The sequence below is a fragment of the Homo sapiens genome, chromosome 21 (assembly GCF_000001405.40).
Source record: "Homo sapiens chromosome 21, GRCh38.p14 Primary Assembly".
NCBI classification, from domain to species: domain Eukaryota; kingdom Metazoa; phylum Chordata; class Mammalia; order Primates; family Hominidae; genus Homo; species Homo sapiens.
In genome coordinates this window covers 18,590,096-18,610,560 of record NC_000021.9, presented here as the reverse complement: position 1 = coordinate 18,610,560, position 20,465 = coordinate 18,590,096, and the positions used below count along the sequence as shown (strand labels likewise).

The window sequence follows — 20,465 nt, the reverse complement described above, 5'->3', positions numbered from 1 at the left end:
ATGTTCTGATTTCAGAGAACAGATAACCTAATAAGAGAAATCAGAAATGTAAAATATAAATAAATGGGAATCAACATGGTTACTATTATAATAAAGGTCTATACAAGAACATTGAAGGAATAACTTTACATGGGGTAATCAAGAAAGCTGTTATCAAAATTTGAGACTTATCATTTCCTAAAACTTTGTTTTACATATATTCTATAATTTTAAAATAATATTAATTGCTCCCTTTATCAGCATCATACTAGTCCCCTAAGTGAACAGATCATTGCATTCAGAAAGAACATCTCAGTCTTGGGTAACTGAAAGTGGTAACCTCCTATGCTCTCACCATATAAAGTGATCATTTTCCAAAAACAGAAAACACAAATTTTGTTTTGATTTTTTTCTTCCATGCCTGTAAATATATACAAGCCTTCATCATGTTTCCAGTGACCTTCAAACCTCTAGTTCTGACCCACTTTTTCTCTTCTTTTCACTCAGCTTATGGTATAGAATAAAAACCCATCAATATCCTTCTTGGAAGTTAAAATTTCTATGTACATCATCACTTAACAGGTGCTGATTTTCTGTCATTTTTAAGCCTTCATTTCCACTAATCAAGGTCAAATTAGGTTTTGCAGACTAGAAATAGTGGATTGGACTCACGTAGATTAGATTCATTCAAAAACTCTCTATGTATTAGCATACTTTGAAATGCCTGTAGAATGGGTTTCTCCTCCTTGCCTGTAGTCCTTTAAGAGTCTCGAAACACGACCGTGTCTTTTCTATGTACATTTCCCTTGATGCATCTCTACATTTCCCATAAGCAGAGTGTCGCTAACACCGGTAAACACTAACTCATACATATTCAATGATTGCTGTGATGCTGGGGTTCCAAATGTCCTAAGCAAGCACTTGAACTTCCTGAAGTTACTCTTTTACTAGATCTAGGCAGGTAGATATAAAGTGATTTTAAATAGTTTTTTTTAAAATTTATGTATTAAAATGAGGTTCTAGTAGATCATAGTATCAGGAAATTCTGTATATTTTTATGCTTATCTGTCCAACAGTTACTGAATTTAATGTATATGATTTATTAATTTACAAGGAAATTTCCTTGATATTGTATCATATTGTTTTAAAAATATTTTAAAAATGCATTGGATAGATTCAAATTGCTCAAAACACTTTCTAAACTTTCAAATATATTCAAAACTAATTGTCAAATATTTCAATGCCTAATATAAGTTTGGATTTCATCAAAATAGATTGAACATTTTTATCACTCATTTCCTAAATACAATGGCAATCATGTTTGAGGAAGAGAGTTTTTTTCTTCAGAAATATATAATGATTGTGGCTAAAGTAACATGAAGAATTATGCTATATATGTCTATATATAGATATACATACATGCATACATTTATATATATATATACACACACATTTAAGGTTTTTAATGATGTGCTTACTGAAGTTATACAGGTTTTTTTTTCAAATATTATTTTATGTTAATTCGTTTTTTAGGAGTTTCCTGAATTAATCCTGGAGGGAACATCACTATGCTGTAGTGATAAAATAGTGGACTGTAACTAAAGATAATTCTATAATTAACATTTGAATGGCAATAGAGTGAGAAACATCAAAGAAAATCTTGATTTCACTTAACTCTTCGTTCAGTTTCCCTTATGCTTTATTTTCTGGGAAAATATTTAATGAACAATGTTTGCTTACTGTATTTGGAAAGGAAATTCTTTGCTTAGTTTTCTTACATGGAATACAAAGTAAAAATACAATATAAATATTCTGAAAAAAATTACACTTTAAAATGGGATATAAAGTCCAAGAAATATAAGCACAACCAACTGCATTTGTCTCAGTGATGCACATTTTTCAACTATAATTAATTTGCTCAGATCTCCTTTTTAAGCTCATAAATTACACACAGAAACCCAAACAGTATTTAATTTACATATCTGGAATCTTTCACAAAGCAACAAAAAAGACAGCATTTAAGTGCCTGCATTTCTAATATAACTTAGTTCTTAAAATAATCTCACTTCATTTTTACAAGAGACAAAAGCTTTTTGGAAGATCCATGATTATGGCACCCACATGCATTGCTTTTGTGCTGCTGTGGGTGTAAGTCTGAAAAACACTCAGCAAACAGATGGCTAACCCTCTGAATGACATTATTCATGTTAAACAGAATGGCTTTCTGATGATCATAATGTAGCACCTGCTCTGGCGTTTTTCTTCTAAGGGAAGAGGAAGAGTGGGATTTGGTGAGTTTGTCAATTGCAGTATCAGGTTTATGTTTTCTGAAAGCATTATAAGAAAGGAAATTGCTAATCAGTTAACTCATTTTATAATGCCCATCATAAAGCAGGAATGAAATTTAATATGACAGGTTATGCATATATATTTGTTATATCAATGAAAAGAAGGAGTTTGTGTATATATTGGTAGACCTTAGGAAATAATTTTTTTCTCTAATGCTCTAAATAACAAAATTAAATCAATTACTACTGAAAGTTTAGATGCAAAAAGGCCATATATCATAATTTTCAATTTTATCCTGATACACTTGTTACCAGTTTTCAAATTCCAAATATGTATTATAATATTTCACCACTTATACTGAATAATTATTATATGAGTCAAAATTTCTCATAAAAACACTCATCGGATTAAATGATTTTCCCTCTTCTTCCTATATAACTGCATTTCTGCTGCATCTTTTCAATTTACAATAACCTTCCCCAGTGAAATGTAAACCTATTTACTCAGAATCCATTATCAGTGGTCATAAAATATAATTCATCTCCCCCAAGGTTTTACTTCTCTACACTAATTGATGCTTATTCTGTTAGCATATTTTCACAGTTAACTTTATCCAATTCTTCTTTTATTATAAGTTTGTTCCCTTCCTACTCTGTCAATCCTTATTACAGATACATGGCTGCACCGTCATGACCAATAACACATTAGAAGGAAGAATTGCCCCCAAATACTTTGAACCTGCCACTGTCACCAAAGGCTAAGTATATTGATACTGTATTTGATGCATATGCTTAGTTAAGTAAACCAAAGGCCACCCATAATTAGAATAAGTTGATTTTATTTTTGCTATACTTTGTTATTAATTCAAAGTTCATTTCATGATATCTTTTCTAGATAAAAGGTTATTCATTGAGTTTAGAATCGTATTTAATTAGGTGCCTATTTATAATTTTATGACTGGACTTCATAGTGACATTTTAAACCAAATTTCAATGTATTATATACATAGGTAAAATGTTAGAATGAGAAATAAACTTTCAGTAAAAGTAGAATTTACTCACTTTAATACCAATTATACATTTTTAAAACTTTCTGTCTAAAATAAAGTAAACAAAACAAATCATTAAGTATATATGCTTGTCTACCATAGAAGAAACAAATACCGTATTATTTTCACATTCTAAGAACCTGAGAAAGTAGAAGGCAAGTCATTCACAGCCTAAGCAAGTGATTAACCTACTTGCGATTGAATACAAATATGGAAAATGTTGAAGATAGTTTAAATTTAGTTGAATTTCTTTATCTCTCTCCCTTCAAAAAATTGATTTTTCAGTGCCATTTATGTGTAGTACATAAAATAATTTTCAACTTAGCCTAAGAGCAATATTCTTAAAAAATTAACTTCATTTTAAATATTATAATTATAAAAGAGTTAGAAATAATATAAACTATTAATATACATTAATTTAGGATGGTGAGATGGATAGCACCTATTATGGGCAAAGAGGTAAGTTTACCTTAATATTTTTTTCTAAAAAAAGATTAATGGCTATAAAATATTATAAGAAATAAGGAAGTAATGAGTACTATGTTGACAGATTCTATAAAAATCTTAAATCAGATAAATCAAGAATTTATTGTGAATATGTGCAATTTGATGTGTTTCTATATAAATGAGATTCATTACTTCTCACTCCAGCTCTCTGTATAGATAATAAATACTATGTGAATATACATCTCTATTCAGGTAACAAAGTTTTACTCTAACAGGATTAAAATGACCTCAAAATAAAATCACTATGGTTTGTAATTGATTTCAGCCCCCTTATGACCAATTTGGCTAATATAAGAGAAGCTATGCTCTAAGGAATCACATAATATTTAAAAATTTTCACACACATTTCTCTGCAATGGAACACTGTTTCCTGAGAAAAATTTTGACCTACCCTGTGGATCATTTTAAGACACATTTCTGTGTTATCACATTTTATTTGGTTCTGCCCTAATTGAAGATTTAAAATTTCATTAGAAATTGCCAGTCCTAACCTCTCTTAAATTAATTATCAAAGCACACGGATCTACCTTTAATTTCCAATACTGGAAAATAATATAATTTAAAATTTCCTCAAGAATGTCAAGCATTGCCAAGATGCTAAAACATTAGCATCTTCCAAGTATAGGATGACAGTCCTCAAAATGCCATGTTTCAAAGGAGTAAGCTGTTCTTAAGAATGGATATTTTGCTAATATCAGTCTAATACCTTGGAAAACAGACATCTGTACATATACTGTTCTCATCAATCTGACTACTACTAATTGTTTTACTATTTAGAAAGATTCTCAATCCATTCCCATACTCAGTAGGGTTGTTTCCCATACTTATGCTACTCATTAATATTTATGTTGAAAGTATTGTTGCTGTTCTCTGGAAACTAGCAATTTTCTCAAATTAATTCCAACTTTCACTTTCCCTTAGAGACACCTAGTCTATTCATACAAGTAAAATGTTTGACCTCTCAGATACATTGGTATGGGTCACTTCTTGAAGCCTTTAAGCATAATGCCTAGAGTATTCCAAGTTGAATTGATTTTTTTATTATTAGTTTAATTTAGATTCAAATAATCTTAGATCTAAAACTACCAAAAATAATCTTCATTGGATTGGTATTGGCCATTTGTCTCTATCTAAAGTTACTCACTTTATTTTTATCTTTCTAAAAAATTGACGGTTTCAATTAGCTTGGGCTGTCATAACAAAATACTGTAGACTGGGTGACTTTAGCAACAGAGATTTATTTTCTCACAATTCTGAAGGCTGGAAGTCAGAGATCAGGTGGCCATTATGGTTGGGTTCTGGTTAGTGCTCCCTTTCCAGCTTGGAGATGACATCCTTCTCACTGTGTCCTCAAATGGCAGAGACAGCCAGCCATATTGTTTCTTCCTCCTCTCATAAGTGTGCTTATCCCTTATAAGGGCACCCATTCTTTATTATTGTGAGGGCCCATTTTCATGACCTCATCTAAATCTAATATTCTCCCAAAGACCCTATCTCCAAATACCATCACAATGGGGGATAGGGCTCAACATATGAATATTGGGGATGAGGGGTACACATTCAGTCTATTGCATTAATTGTGCAAGTAAAACTTCTAAAGTTTGTATAAAATGCTTTCTCAGTGTTCAAGTATGTGACAGCTACTCCATTTCTTTCCCCCACTAATTCTGTGATTATATTTAAATCTGTCAAGTGAATCTGGAATGATTAATTATTTAAACCTCTTGCTATTAATTACGTCTGTAAGTTCTTAATATTTTTAACGTTTATTTTATAATATAAGCATGCAGAAAAATTTACAAAAATATTTTTATACTATTGTTTTCCTTAATCTATATGTTTATAAGTCTTTACTTTTTTATTATTTTGCTTATTTTTTTCTCAACAGGTTCAGAAGTTACCTCTATTAATAACTGTATTAGTTAGCTATCACACTCATCCAGTTAGCAAAAGTATTGGCCCATTTTCTTAAAATCCAGAATATTTAATGTTCCTAAAGGATTTCTATTTTAGTTTTAATGTATCTGTACCTATTAGATAAGAGCTTCCCACATAGTCCCACATATATATTGTTCTTTCAAATGTAATTCTGTTCTGCGTAACTTTCTGCATTTCTGCTGCTACAACCCTAGTGGAGATCATCACTGTTTTTTTCTTAAACTACACTAATTCTTCTTGAACAATTTGTCCTTGCTTCCTCCCAATTAATATTCTCTGCAAAACCTTGGAATGATTAAGCAAAGCTAAATAAAGCAAAGCAAATCAAATAGGAAGACATAAAGTGGATCAAGTGAATGGCCTGCTAAGAGTACCTTGCTACCTGTGAACATGCCTTAGTCCTTACTTTGAGCTACTCTGCCCACACCCATAGTCACTACGTTCCAGATCTAATCCATGTGATTGTCATTTCCTGTGCTTTTCCTTCTATTTACAGTACACTGGCAGAATTCTTATTATTTTGCAAATTTCAACTCAGGTGAGGTTTGGGTCTCAGCTTCTTGACAGGTGGTATAGCATTGTGGTAAAAATACGGGCACTGGCACTGGATGACCTTCGCTCTATTCCCTCTCAAACTTTCACTAGCAGTGTGGCCTTAGGCAGGTGACATCATCTTTGTATTGCAGTTTCTTCACTTGTAAAAACAGAGGTATTATCACCATTCTCATAGATGTGTTTGCTGTATTAAATGATTTAATGTATATAAGACATTTAGAAGAGTATGTAGCATATTTTAAGCTCCCAATAAAGGTCACTTGTTAGAGTTTTACTTCAATAAAATGTCCACAACTATTATATTGTAATAATAATAATAGTAATAATATAATAATTATGATTGTTAATTGTATTAATTATAATAATAGATAATTCTTCAAAAAGTCTAAATTACAGAGACTGCCCTCTCAAATTCAGTTATTTCTCATACTCTTTATTACAACATCCAGGTTGTTATCTTTTTATGACATTAAGATCTTAATTACATATGTACTTATCTGTTTATGTGTGTATAATACAGCTCACTAAAATGAAGGTTCAGGTAAGCAGGTACTATGTCTATTTGTTCATCATTATATAATTAGCACCTATAACTGCTTAGAAAGGAGATCAATAACTATTTTTGAATCAGTGAATATTGTCCATAAAATTGAATTTCATCAAGCAACGGAGTGGGGCATGCTTTTAACAATAGAGTGGGAAACCCCCCACTAAGACAGAGAAGGCAATTTATGAGCCTAACAGCAGTGGCTACAGGAACAGCTTGGCAGGCAGCCCTTAACTGTAGCGGACCTTTCACACAAGACAACAACAAGCAGATTCAGTGAAAACAATCCAGCTGAAACACTGGTAGGTGAATGAGCTGGTATTGTAGGCATCTGTCAATAGATAGTAGGTAAGATCCAGGCAACTTGTAGATGGCCCCTATTAATAATTAGTGTAGATATGTGATCAGTTGAGCTGTGGTTGCTGGGTTAGGTATAGCACAACAGGGAATGAGGACTAGAGAAACCAAGTAGGAATTAGTATGCCAGGGGGAGATTTTGTCATAAAAGGTAAAATACTCTGGGCATGGTGTCTCATGTTTGTAATCCCGGCATTTTGGGAGGCTGAGGTACAATTACTTGAGGCCAGAAGTTTGAGACTTCCCTGGGCCACATGGCGAGAGCTAGTCTCTACCAAAAATCAATCAATAAATAAAAATTAGCCAGGTGTGGTGGCATGCACCTGTAGTCCTAGCTACTCAGAAAGAAAGCGGAGGTGAGAGGATGATTTGAGCCCAGGAGTTTCAGGCTGCAGTAAGCTATAATCACACCACTGCTCTCTGGCCCGGGTGACAGAGTAAGACTCTGTCTCTTAAAAAAAAGGCAAAATAGCACATAGCCTAAAATAGATTGTGCTGATAGCATAATGCTGACCAACACAAAAACAGGACTAAGTTTCCTTAAACAGGAAATTAAGCAAAAATTGTTTTTACCTCTAATGTTCTTATGTCCACATTGAAGGATAGCTAAGAAAACTTTTTAATACATATAAACTATGCTAGACACATTGAAAAGCAAACTAAGCAAACTTTTTTTCTAAAATGAATGAAGTTACATTTAATGTGTATTTTACATGATGATTTCATTGTGCTTCACTTTGTCTTTGATTTTCTCACTTCACTTAAATCATTGTATCTATTTTTCTTTCCTCTGCCTCTTCTGCCAAATAGCTGATCTTATTTGAATTAAAATTGCAGCTGTCTTTATCAATCTTTCGTGTTACATATGGATTTAAAAAATAAATTTACAAGTACAAAAACTCATGACATTATTCAGCTCATGAGCTAATTCAAGATTCATTTGTCTTGATGTAGTTGTTTCCATTCCTATGCAAATTCTGCTTTGTTCTTTGTATTGACATTTTCTTCCATTTCACAGTTGGTGGAATTAAAACATAGACTAAAACATTACAAGTAAACTGTCATTATACTAATGTAAAAGCTCAAATTATCCTAATTATAACCATTAATATAATTCACAAACAAATGCTAATGCCATCACTGGTTATGTGGCATGTTGATCCTTTCAATTTATATATCTTCCTTGGGATTCTTTGTTTTCACATCTTGAAATAGTAAAAGTTATGCAGAAATATCTCAAAGCCTCTGTGAATTAAGCCACTTTACCTATAAGGCACTAAACACTAAAGTTAAAAATAATTAAGCTAATACTTGACATGAATTTTTTTGACATGCTTGAAAATTATTTTGGAAGCTAGAATACCTAATTTGTACTTTTGATTAAAACAAAATGTTTATCATTCTTTTTATATTATAGCCACATGTCTAGGTAGGGAGAAATGAAATTACTTTCTAGAGTTGGGTAATTATATTTGATATTACTGAGAAATTGCTATCAAAATAATACATGTCTAAATGGAAAATAATTATAATTACACATTTTCAATCTGCCAACACTACTGGATTTGTGAAGAAAAATAGTCTTTGAGTATGTTCTTATTTTCAAACTTTTAAACAAATCAAAAGATGTCATTTTACTAATATCATGGTTCGCTTATCTCTGAATACACTCAAATATATCCTTAATGCCTATGAAATTAGTATTAACCTTGTCCCCACCACATATAATTTTATAAAGACTGATATTCCTACCTGTCGACTAATTGCACCAATAAACTTCACTACAAGGACATAATTAATAGACCGTAATATTTAAGAAGGTGACATTTCTCACATGTTTTGAACTCTTGACTTGGAATTTGAAAAGGAGAAGAAGTTACTGATACCAGGATTTTAATCTAGAATAGTATCCAGTTGGCAGTTAACTGAAACAGCTTTTTTTCCCTTAACAGCAATAAAACAGAAAGGACTAATTACCCCTTTTTATAGGTGCAATTGGAACTTAAAACTCTAGAGACAGTGTGAGCAATAAAGCACTGTTAGAGTCTATTTCACCATCTGCACCTTAAAGTTAACAGCTACCAAATCAACAAACAAACAAAAGACTCAATTATGTTAAATATATTATTCTAAGGTTGTAAATTGTTTATTAGCATTCTGTTCTGATTCTAAGTAATTAAAACAATTTCTTAATAAAATGTTCAGTTCATATATATTTTGAGAAAATTAGAAATTTTTAAACAAATGCTAAACAAATGCTAAATCTGTTTTAGAATTTTTAAAGAATAATTTTAAAAATATCTACCCTTCACTTCCTCTTTAAAGAAGTTAATTTAATTAAATAACTAAAATTGTCTCTTTCATAATCTGAACATTTACAGTGTTTTCTTAGTAAATACAAAGCAATGCCATCTTTAAAATGGAGACCAAATATGATGATCAAACGTGCATTTATGCCTTGAGACACTCCCACTATTTTCAAGCAAGATAGTTTTACATACATCTGTGAATGTAAGAATGAATCTTAAAATATGCATTTTCACATGAAACAATCAAATATGGAAACCATAGACTTGGGAAAGCACATGTAATTAGGTTCTTTGTTTACCAATACAAAAGTAAATCTATCCATGTAGATTTTAAAAAATAAGTCAAATTCTAAAATTAATGTTGATAGATATTATGTATAATCATCATATTTAACCTGAAGAACCATAGGTCTTCAAAACCTAACCTTTGAACAGAGTTCAAAATACAGCCTTTTTCTACTTAAGTCAGGAAATTCTAAAATAAGATTAGGCAAGAGGATAGGGTCTGTGAGTCTGAAGAAATACTTTAAATAATTCATTTTAAATTTTAAATCAAGGTGATATGCTTCTCAAAGTTTTAATGAGAACATCCTTTTATATTTCAATGCTACTTTTTTCTAGACTTCTTCACAATTTTGAAAATTACCATAAATTTACCATTTAAAAAAGTAACCATGTCACAAAGTGTTCAGAAAATCCCTTGTCCACACTCTTTCAAATATAAAAAGTCAATCATGTATCATTCAGAAGTAGTCTTACATATATTTCACTGATACAAAATGAGATGCCAGGCATTTATTGGGAATCAAGATATTCATTTGCTATGAATGCTAAAATAATCACTACCTTATATATGTGCTGTATTCACCCTTGCTGAGTGAATGAATAGGCCACCATTTTCCAAATTGCAAGGTCCCGCCAACAAAGGGAAAGGCCAGATTATTAGTTAGGTTCTCTCTGATTCCTTGAAGACTTGACTTATTATATGGGCCTCCTACTTTACTAAGTTTTCAGTTAGGAATTGTTTTTTCTCTCCTCACTGAAAAGAATATAAATAAAAGCCTCACTGTTTCTGCTGTGCCATTAAATATTAGAGATGGGAAGTGAAGGAATCAATGTTCAGAAAGAGCAGGAAGTAGGATAGAAAGAGGAAGGAAGGAAGAGTAGGAAGAGTAGGAAGAAAAGAAAATGCAGACCTCACTAATGACCAGGCAATATTGACCAAGTCACATAACACATTGCACTGAAAAACGTGTGGCCAATGTGAAGCACAGTTTCCTGAGATAGGAATAAAATTATAAATAAAAAGAACATGTTTAATAAATGGTGTTGGAAAAACTGGCTAGCCATATACACAAAACTGAAACTGGACCCCTTCCTTACATCTTCTACAAAAATCAACTCAACATGGGTTAAAGACTTAAACATAAGTCCTAAAACCATAAAAATACTAGAAGAAAACTTAGGCAATACCATTTAGGACATAGGCATGGGCAAAGACTTCATGACTAAAACACCAAAAGCAATGGAAACAAAAGCCAAAATTGATAAATGGGATCTAATTAAACTAAAGAGCTTCTGCACAGCAAAAGAAGCTATCATCAGAGTGAACAGGCAACCTAAAGAATGGGAGAAAATTTTTGCAATCTATCCATCTGACAAAGGGCTAATATCCAGAATCTATATAGAACTTAAACAAGTATACAAGAAAATAACAACCCCATCAAAAAGTGGGCGAAGGATATGAACAGACACTTCTCAAAATAAGATATTTATGCAGCCAACAAACATATGAAAAAATGCTCATTATCACTGGTCGTTAAAGAAATGCAAATCAAAACCACAATGAGATACCATCTCATGTCAGAATGGTGATCATTAAAAAGTCAGGAAACAACAGATGCTGGAGAGGATGTGGAGTAATAGGAACAATTTACACTGTTGGTGGGAGGGTAAATTAATTCAACCATTGTGGAAGACAGTGTGGCGATTCCTCAAGGATGTAGAACTAGAAATACCATTTGACCCAGTAATCTCATTACTGGGTATATACCCAAAGGATTATAAATCATTCTACTATAAAGACACATGCACACATATGTTTATTGTGGCACTATTCACAATAGCAAAGATTTGGAACCAATGCAAATGTCCATCAATGATAGACTGGATAAAGAAAATGGAATACTATGCAGCCATAAAAAAAGGATGAATTCATGTCCTTTGCAGGGACATGGATGAAGCTGGAAAGCATCATTCTCAGCAAACTATCACAAGAACAGAAAACCAAACACCACATGTTCTCAATCATAGGTGGGAATTGAACAATGACAACACATGGACACAGGGAGGGGAACATCACATATCAGGGCCTGTTGGGGTGTCGGGGGCTAGGGGAGGGATAGCATTAGGAGAAATACCTAATGTAGGTAACAGGTTGATGGGTGCAGCAAACCACCATGACACATGTATACCTATGTAACAAACCTGCACATTCTGCACATGTACCCCAGACCTTGAAGTATAATAATAATAATAATAATAAAACACACGTATGTCTTTTGACTGTCTGGTTGGTTGGTTGTCTAGTTTATTAGTTTGCTCATGAAAAAGTCTTTGGGCACACATTACTATTTTTTTTTTCCCGAGACAGAGTCTCGCTCTGTCACCCAGGCTAGAGTGCAGTGGCGAGATCACTGCTCACTGCAACCGCCACCTCTGCCTCCCATGTTCAAGCAATTCTGCTACCTCTGCCTCCCATTTTCAAGCAATTCTCCCACCTCAGCCTCCTGAGTAGCTGGGATTACAGGCACATGGCAACATGCCCAGCTAATTTTTGTATTTTTAGTAGAGTCGGGGTTTTGTCATGTTGGCCAGGCTGGTTTCAAACTCCTGGCCTCAAGTGATCCACCTGCCTCGGACTCCCAAAGTGCTGGGATTACAGGAGTGAGCCACTGCGCCTGGCCAGAGGCATACTCTCTTATAAGCAGGTAAGGCTTCTTCCATCCCCCAATGTATTTGAATGTCTTTAGACATTCAGCAATCTCTGGCATTTCATACTAACTGAGCTTTTAAAAGTAGAATCAATCATTCAATATTTTTCAAGCTATGTTTTAATATTTGGGAAAAATACAAAAGCCAATCTGTCAAAACGTATTGAACCTACAGTGAGTTGCTAATTTTCAAATGCAGAAACCAAAGTCTGGTCAGTTACTTCATTCTTTGGAACACTCAGATTAGACTATAAGCATGCAGTATCAATATCTCTGCAGACACTTCAAGGAAAGCTTGATTTGAGCTCCTATTATCTAAGCTTTCTAGGTGTAAACTTCACAATAATTAATAAAAATACTTGATTCTATTAAAATTTTCTTTGCTAAATTCTATATATAATTCCGAGAAGAAGAAGGATTGACAAGCTTAAATCCCTGCCTCTGTTAGAACCACCTTGCAACTAATTCATTTTTTATGTGATTATTCAAAAATTGATATTAGGGAATGATTTTTATGTAACCAGCAAATTGTTTTTAAAAAAGTTTTTTTTTTTTGGTCCAACCATGTCTGAAAATTGCAATGAAAAAACAACTTGCAAAGTTCAAAAAATACAATTTTTACCAGTTTTTTAATTAAATCATTAATTTTTCTATCAAAATAATATGTTCATATTATTTGAAAATAGATGTCACATTTTACTAAAAGACTTCTATAAAATCAAGGACAATATTATAACCACAGTCTCTAGCTATAGAAACAGCTACTTTGAAGCATTTTAGCTGTTTTTTCCTAAGCCTAATTTCTAATTTCTTTTTTTTTTCAAATTTTTGGTATTTATTGATTCTTTTTTTAAAATTATACTTTAAGTTCTAGGGTACATGTGCACAACGTGCAGGTTTGTTACATATGTATACATGTGCCATGTTGGTGTGCTGCACCCATTAACTCGTCATTTACATTAGGTATATCTCCTAATGCTATCCCTCCCCTCTCCCCCGACCCCACAACAGGCCCCGGTGTGTGTCCAAGTGTTCTCTTTGTTCAGTTCCCACCTATGAGCGAGAACATGCAGTGTTTGGTTTTTTGTCCTTGCGATAGCTTGCTGAGAATGATGGTTTCCGGCTTCATCCATGTCCCTACAAAGGACATGAACTCATCATTTTTATGGCTGCATAGTATTCAATGGTGTATATGTGCCACATTTTCTTAATCCAGTCTATCATTGTTGGACATTTGGGTTGGTTCCAAGTCTTTGCTACTGTGAGTAGTGCTGCAATAAACATACGTGTGCATGTGTCTTTATAGTAGCATGATGTGTAATCCTTTGGGTATATACCCAGTAATGGGATGGCTGGGTCAAATGGTATTTCTAGGCTTAGACTGACAATAAAAAAATGGCAAAAAGAACACATGATTTCATTTTAACTAAACCCCTAAAAGCTCCGGTAAGCCATTAAAGAAGACTGAGCAAATTGGATATAGAGTGATAATAATAAATAAACAACAGCAACAATGTTTTGAAGCTGAAAACTAGGAAGATGAGAAGATACTGACTTATCAGAGTAGGCAAATCTGAAACATTACTGCCAATAAAAAGCCAAGTGATGCACCTCTAAACCCAGAAGAAACTCAGAACTAAAAGAACTAGTATTTCTGCAGAAATGGGTGCTGGTAAGGTTGAAAAAAAAAATAAGATTAATGATTAAAAGCCTGCAAAAACAGCAAATAGAATATTGGAAACTTTCAGCCAACTCATTGAGTCAGTCTATTCTGAGGCAGGAAATTTACTCTCTGGTAAGATTTAGTCATAAAGACTTAAACTCAGAGCTACCAGGTCCCCGTAACTGCAGGGGTGAAGTATCTACTAAAGATAAGGGAACTTTAAGAATGTCTACATATATACTAGGGAAAATCTAAGGTTTTATTTTTTTATCATTTTTTTGTTTTTATTTTTTCCCCAAATGAACCCTCAGAAAACTCCAAATAAGGCTTTCAGAACCCAGGAAAAATATGGACATCTAGTACGAGAGAAATTACATATGATACTGACGTTTAAGGGAATCTAAGTGGAGTGCCCATTTACCAACAGGTGATCCTTAGGCTTATCAGCCCATAATCCCAGCCCATTCATACTGGTCTCATGTCAGATATGTATTTTTTTTCACCCTTCTCTTAAATATAAACAGAAAGCCAAGATCACCAAATATTGAGAAAGGACACAACACGAAGATTGAATTCAATCAAATAGGCAGCAAAATAAACTCAGTGGAAAAGAATTAGACTGTAAAGTGAGCAAAGGGAAACTTATAAAACCTAATAATATCCTTAAAAGAGAAGAGGTATTATTCTATCCATAGGAAAACAACAGGTTGCTATAAAAGGAACATTCAAAGAATAAAGAAAAAGCCACTGGAAATTAAAAATGTGACAATGGGAATTTTTAACCAAAAAAATTTAGAAATACATTTAAGAGATAATGTTACTTAAAAAAAGGCTCTTGAGGCTCTTGAAGTTATATTATATAACAGGCATAGTACAAAGGAGACAAAGCCCCTGACTTTATGAAATCAGATAAGAAACAACAAAAACAACAGAGTTAGGATATGGAGAGAAAAGCAAAGATTTACAACTACAGGGTGATATTTTCATCTGGGGCATAGCTCAAGAAAATAATCTCTCACCGAAAATAGAAATTGAAAATTGAAGAGAAAATAAAAGAAAAAAACAGAAGAGAAATCAAGAGATGTATCTATAGATATACCAAAGGAAGGGAAACTGAATACATTAAGAAGAGAAAGATAGCAAGGGAATAATAAAATAACTTTTTCCAGAACTAAGAAAATTTATGTTTAATGGAAAAAAAATTATCAAATTAACAAAATCAATGGGAAAAAAATAAAACTGGAACCTCTATAAAGAAAAAAGCAAGAATATGTAAACTGGGATGATTGTTTTTTAACAATACTAGAAGCTGACAATAAAATAATGGCTTACATGATTTTCAATCTAGAACTGTTTACACATCCAAAAAGTCAATTAAGGGAAAGGGCAAAGTACAGACATTTTTAGGCAGGTAAGTCCTGAGAATGTTTACTTCTTAAGCACTCTTTCTCAGGAAGATTCTGAAGGTTATGCTCCACCAAATTTAGAGACAAACCCAAGAAAGACAAATACATGATAGCCAAGAAATGGTTAGCCAACAGAGAAGAAACACAAAAAGAATTCCACAATAAATGGGAAAGAGAAGTCCCAGAATAACAGCAGTATGGCCAGCTGGAGATCAGCCAGCTCAGTCTGGAACATGATAATGAAAAACTTCAAGAAGAAAACCATCAAGGAAAGAAGACAAAATGGAACCAATGATACCTTATAGATTTATGTACTATATGAATTTTTGAACTGTACTAAGAAAAAGCTAGCCATTTTAGAATTCCATTAGAAAGTTTGAAAGTGATTTAGTAATAAGAAAATAGAAATTAACCAAACAAATAAGCAAAATTGATAACACCAGTAAAACAAAAGCAATAAATAAGAATGGAAGTACATTAGCAACTTGGTAATAAACATATTTAGGTAGCCATAATTATTTAAACAATAAGTATTGGACAAACCTTATAGTATGTTTATACTAGGAGTATGGGGAAGAGAAAATATTTGTATGTGGTAAGGTGGAGATGTAAAAAAAGCTAAAACTTAAAGTACTTTCAATTCAATTTCCCAACTTTCATTGTTCTTTTATACCAATATCATAATCAATGGTTGAATTAACGTTTAGAATATCATGACTATGCACATATTGTTTATACGCACGTAGCACACCACCATGGTTCCTTTTTTTCCATGTTATAACTTTATTTTCCAAGAATGCTTCTTCTGGTTTCTTTTTCCAGCTTGTGTAATGAGAGATAGTACATTAATGATAATACATTAATGATAGTACATTAATGAGAAAAAGGTGAGAGACCTTTTTCCAGTTTGTGTAATGGAGATAGTATGTATCAATCTCTCTTGCAGAGAAGGTGGCAAAAGCTTCCAAAGTTTTGTTTGTAAACTTGAATTTAATTGCCTTGTGTCCAGACCCATAGCAGCAAGATTTATATTTTCATTCTGCTGTCACCTTCTCCATAGCTTGACAAATGCATTAAATTAACTAATTCATTAATCATTAATTGAAAACAGCAAAAATCTTCAGGTTAGATGAAAAGATTATCATCCAACTGTGAGGAAAAGGTGGCTAGGCGTAGGCATGCACTGGTTTGTTTTTTAACATAAATTTGACACTTATTTCCTGTCTGTCTTCCATTCTAATTCCATTTCACCTCACTGGTCCACCTGACAGTTGAAGTCTGGAGCCTCTTAGGGATTTAGGGGGAAAATTGGGTAGGTACCATGTGTAGCCTCTTCCTGTAGATCCTTCTTGTAGGTCTTAGATTTTAACTACTCCCTCTATTAAATGTCCCCATCTTTCAAAGCTGTATTATGTTATTTTACTGATATCTTCTCCCTTTGTCATTTTAGATTAGGTTTTTTAAAATGAACTTGCAATCATTATAGTAGGGCTCAATGGTGTAAGTGAGTAAATAGGCCAGATATGTAATTATACATTTTGTACATGAACAGGTTGATGGGTGCAGCAAACCACTATGGCACGCGTATACCTATGTAACAAACCTGCACGTTCTGCATATGTACCCCAGAACTTAAAGTATAATAAAAAAAATTCAGCTAACGAAGTTTACCCACATTTAGGTCTTCCTTCTACAACTTTCTTTTAGTATTTGTACTATCGCAATAACCAATCCTAATATTTCAATGGTTGGTTCTAAACATGCAATATTTACTACAAATTCATAAACCAGATGATTATTCTCAACATATATTCCACTATATTAGGCTATTACTTAAAGACTCTTTTCATTTATCTTCTAACTATGACATTATCCTGGGCACAATACATTTATCAATAGTGCTGAACACTGCTTGAGCATTTCTAATAGTTTTATCATATTGCTGAAGTAAGTGAGCTTAATTTTATTCAAAATGATCAATACTATTTTACATATTCTGCTATTTAGATTCATCTATTCCTATCTTGTATTTGTCTTGGGGATTTTTTTGTTATAATTAAAGGGTTTATAATTATCTCAAATTTTAATATACTGTTCAGTATGCTATTTTTTTAAAAAAAATAAAAATTCTACTAACCTCCCATTTGTTGTTATGTTTGATTTCGATGAACGTGCTATCAATATCCTCACTCAAGTTATTAAGCTAAAAACTGTTGAGACAAAGTTGAGAGTGCAACCCAGTAACATAAGGCTGTAAACTATCAAAAAGTTGGCATCATTAACCAGCATCGTTTACTCACTGTCACAGAAATGGTAAGAACAGTCCCTGATTTAAATCATCCCAATTTCTCCTCTTGTTTATAAAAACATCATGACAAATCTGATCAAATGCTTTTATTGAGACAGAGTTTTTATGCCACTATTTATATCTATCAGCTTACTGCATCTTATGCTTTACTGACACATGGTAAATTGTCCTACGATTAGGACTATTTTTGGTTGAAATAAAATAAACTTCACTAAAACTTAAGCAGAAAAATAAATTTATTAAAAGGATGGTGAAGTGTTTTAGGAAATCCCATTCAGGGCCTCAGGAATACAACTGGAGACCTAGATCTTGTGGGGAAACAAGGAGGTCATCATAGCCTTTCTTTGGGATGTCTCTGCAATTTGTTCCATTCTTCTCAACCTATCTCTCTACACATTAGAATAAGGCAACCAAAAACACATAAGATGTAGATATTTCAGTGCAACTATACCCCCCAAATAATTTTCTCTCCCTAATTCCAAGTTTTAAATTCCTTTGAAAGGATCTTCAACTTCAGCTGGGAGCCAATTATTGAATAAATAGGATTGACCAGAAGGACGTACTTTGCAGAAGGAGAAATAATCAGCTCAGATTTATTCAGTTTCTCTTCCTAAACCAATAACCAATAACCTCCACAATTATCAGTTCTTGCAACAGCAATTTAAGTAATGTGGGTGCTCTGAAAATTAGGGAGGGAGAAGTTATCTAAAAAGGTCAGGTAAAGAGGTTGATGAGTGAGTTGGTCATATGGTTTAATAAAGTCTACTATTTGCTGTTTAAATAAATACTTTCTTTTTTCAAATTGTAAAAGGGAAAACTTTTTCCAAATGCCAAACTCAAACTATCTTGTGTATAACCACAAATAATGTAGAACCATAACAATTGTTGGTCAGCTGTTACTTACAGAAACAATGCCATGAAGCCACTATTCTATCACTTTAGCCTGTTTGGATACCGTCCATTTCTCTTCTATTTTATCTTTATATCTGGATTAATCAAGACTCTTTCTTGATTAAACGATGGAAACTTAACTCAAATTTGAACTCTTGTCACAATCAACTGAAAATTCAGGGAAGAATGACTTAGAAAGCACCAAGTCCAGATGCTCAAATAATATCCTCAGCAATGTCTTTCATTATCTTTTAGATCTACTGATTTCATTAACAGATGTCTCTTTACATATAGTAGTAAAAAATAGTCGCTGGAAACACCATATATGTACTCCACTATCTTGCCATCTCCAGTGAAAAAGTCTTCCTCTCTTCTGATTATACCAGATAAAATCATAAGACTGAATTTATTTGGTCTATCCTCAGTTATACGCTTTCCTATGATCACCTTTGTGGTCAGTGCAATCACAACATATGGACTGACCATAAAGGACTTGGAAGTCCCCAAAAGGAATAGTTGCATTTTGTAACAGCAGAAAGGATTGCTGTTTGGGAGAGAGTACAGAGGCACCCACCTACAACCACAAACGCTTGCATGCTCCTGTGGAGGAGATGAAGTACAGTTTTATCCCTTTGATGCCTCCAGTGGTGATATCTGGGCCTCTGCTCCAGTCCCTTTGCTTAATATTCAAATCTATTCTAATTTTGTTCTAATGCTGCATGCCATGCACTATATGATCAATTTAAAATGCCCAAAGCTCCTAAAAGGAAGATATCAAAGTACCATAAATTGCTCACCAGTCTAAGATTAAGGTTATCCTATTCGACTAGTGCAGCCGGAGAACTGATTGGATCAGTGAAAATAATGGGCATCGAGTGGTTACTTTCTTCCTGTGAGTGAAGTATTTTCCATTATAGCTGATTTGACTGATTCAGGTTGTAGATATTGAAAGTATTTTTTATGCCTCACTGGGTATACTTCCCTGAGCATGAAAATGTAGAGCTATATAGAGAGTTTCCAGGATAATGTCATTGAGAAGATGAGAATGGAATCAGTTCAAAATGGAGGTAAATGTTTATTTTTTTTATAGGAGCTGAGATATTTTATCTAAAGAGACAAGAGAGTAAAACAATGTAATGCACTGATCCAGTTCATTGGGTCAAAGTAGTAGTGAAAGCTTGTGTATTTTTGAATCTTCTTTGTATTTTTCTTTCTTCAGTATGAAGGGAAGCAAAATCATCAGATGTGAGTATTTCGTGTAGGGTTGGAGGTTTGAAGACAGTGGGCAAGGTAATGAAGCAGCCGTCTAGTAGACTGGGAGAATGACTGGACCAGGGAAATGCTGGACTGTGGCTGGGAGTCACTGTAGTCCACTTTAGGTAAATGGCATGAAAGTAATGGGGTACCAGACTACCTTGTTTAGTGTTTTTCTCCAGCCACATTCAACTATATAGAGATAAATAAAGTGTCAGATTATTGCCAAAGAAGCAAAATAAAAGAAGGGATCCAAAGACAGTTAAACGATTCAGCTATGGTGTTTAAGGATGAACCATGGGATTTAACTTTTTTGAGAAGAGCGTGAGACCATGGGAAGCAAACTCTCAATGAAAATGTACCAGGGAAATTGCATGTAAGATTCCGTCGAGGTGTGAAAGGCTGGGTATTTTGGGAAATG

General features: G+C 33.2%; 1 long non-coding RNA gene across 1 annotated transcript in view; it reads left to right on the top strand.

The window, feature by feature from the left end:
- The window catches only part of MIR548XHG (MIR548X host gene), a 198,548-nt gene that overhangs the window by 149,252 nt on the left and 28,831 nt on the right, over window positions 1-20,465 (top strand). The window lies entirely within an intron of this gene.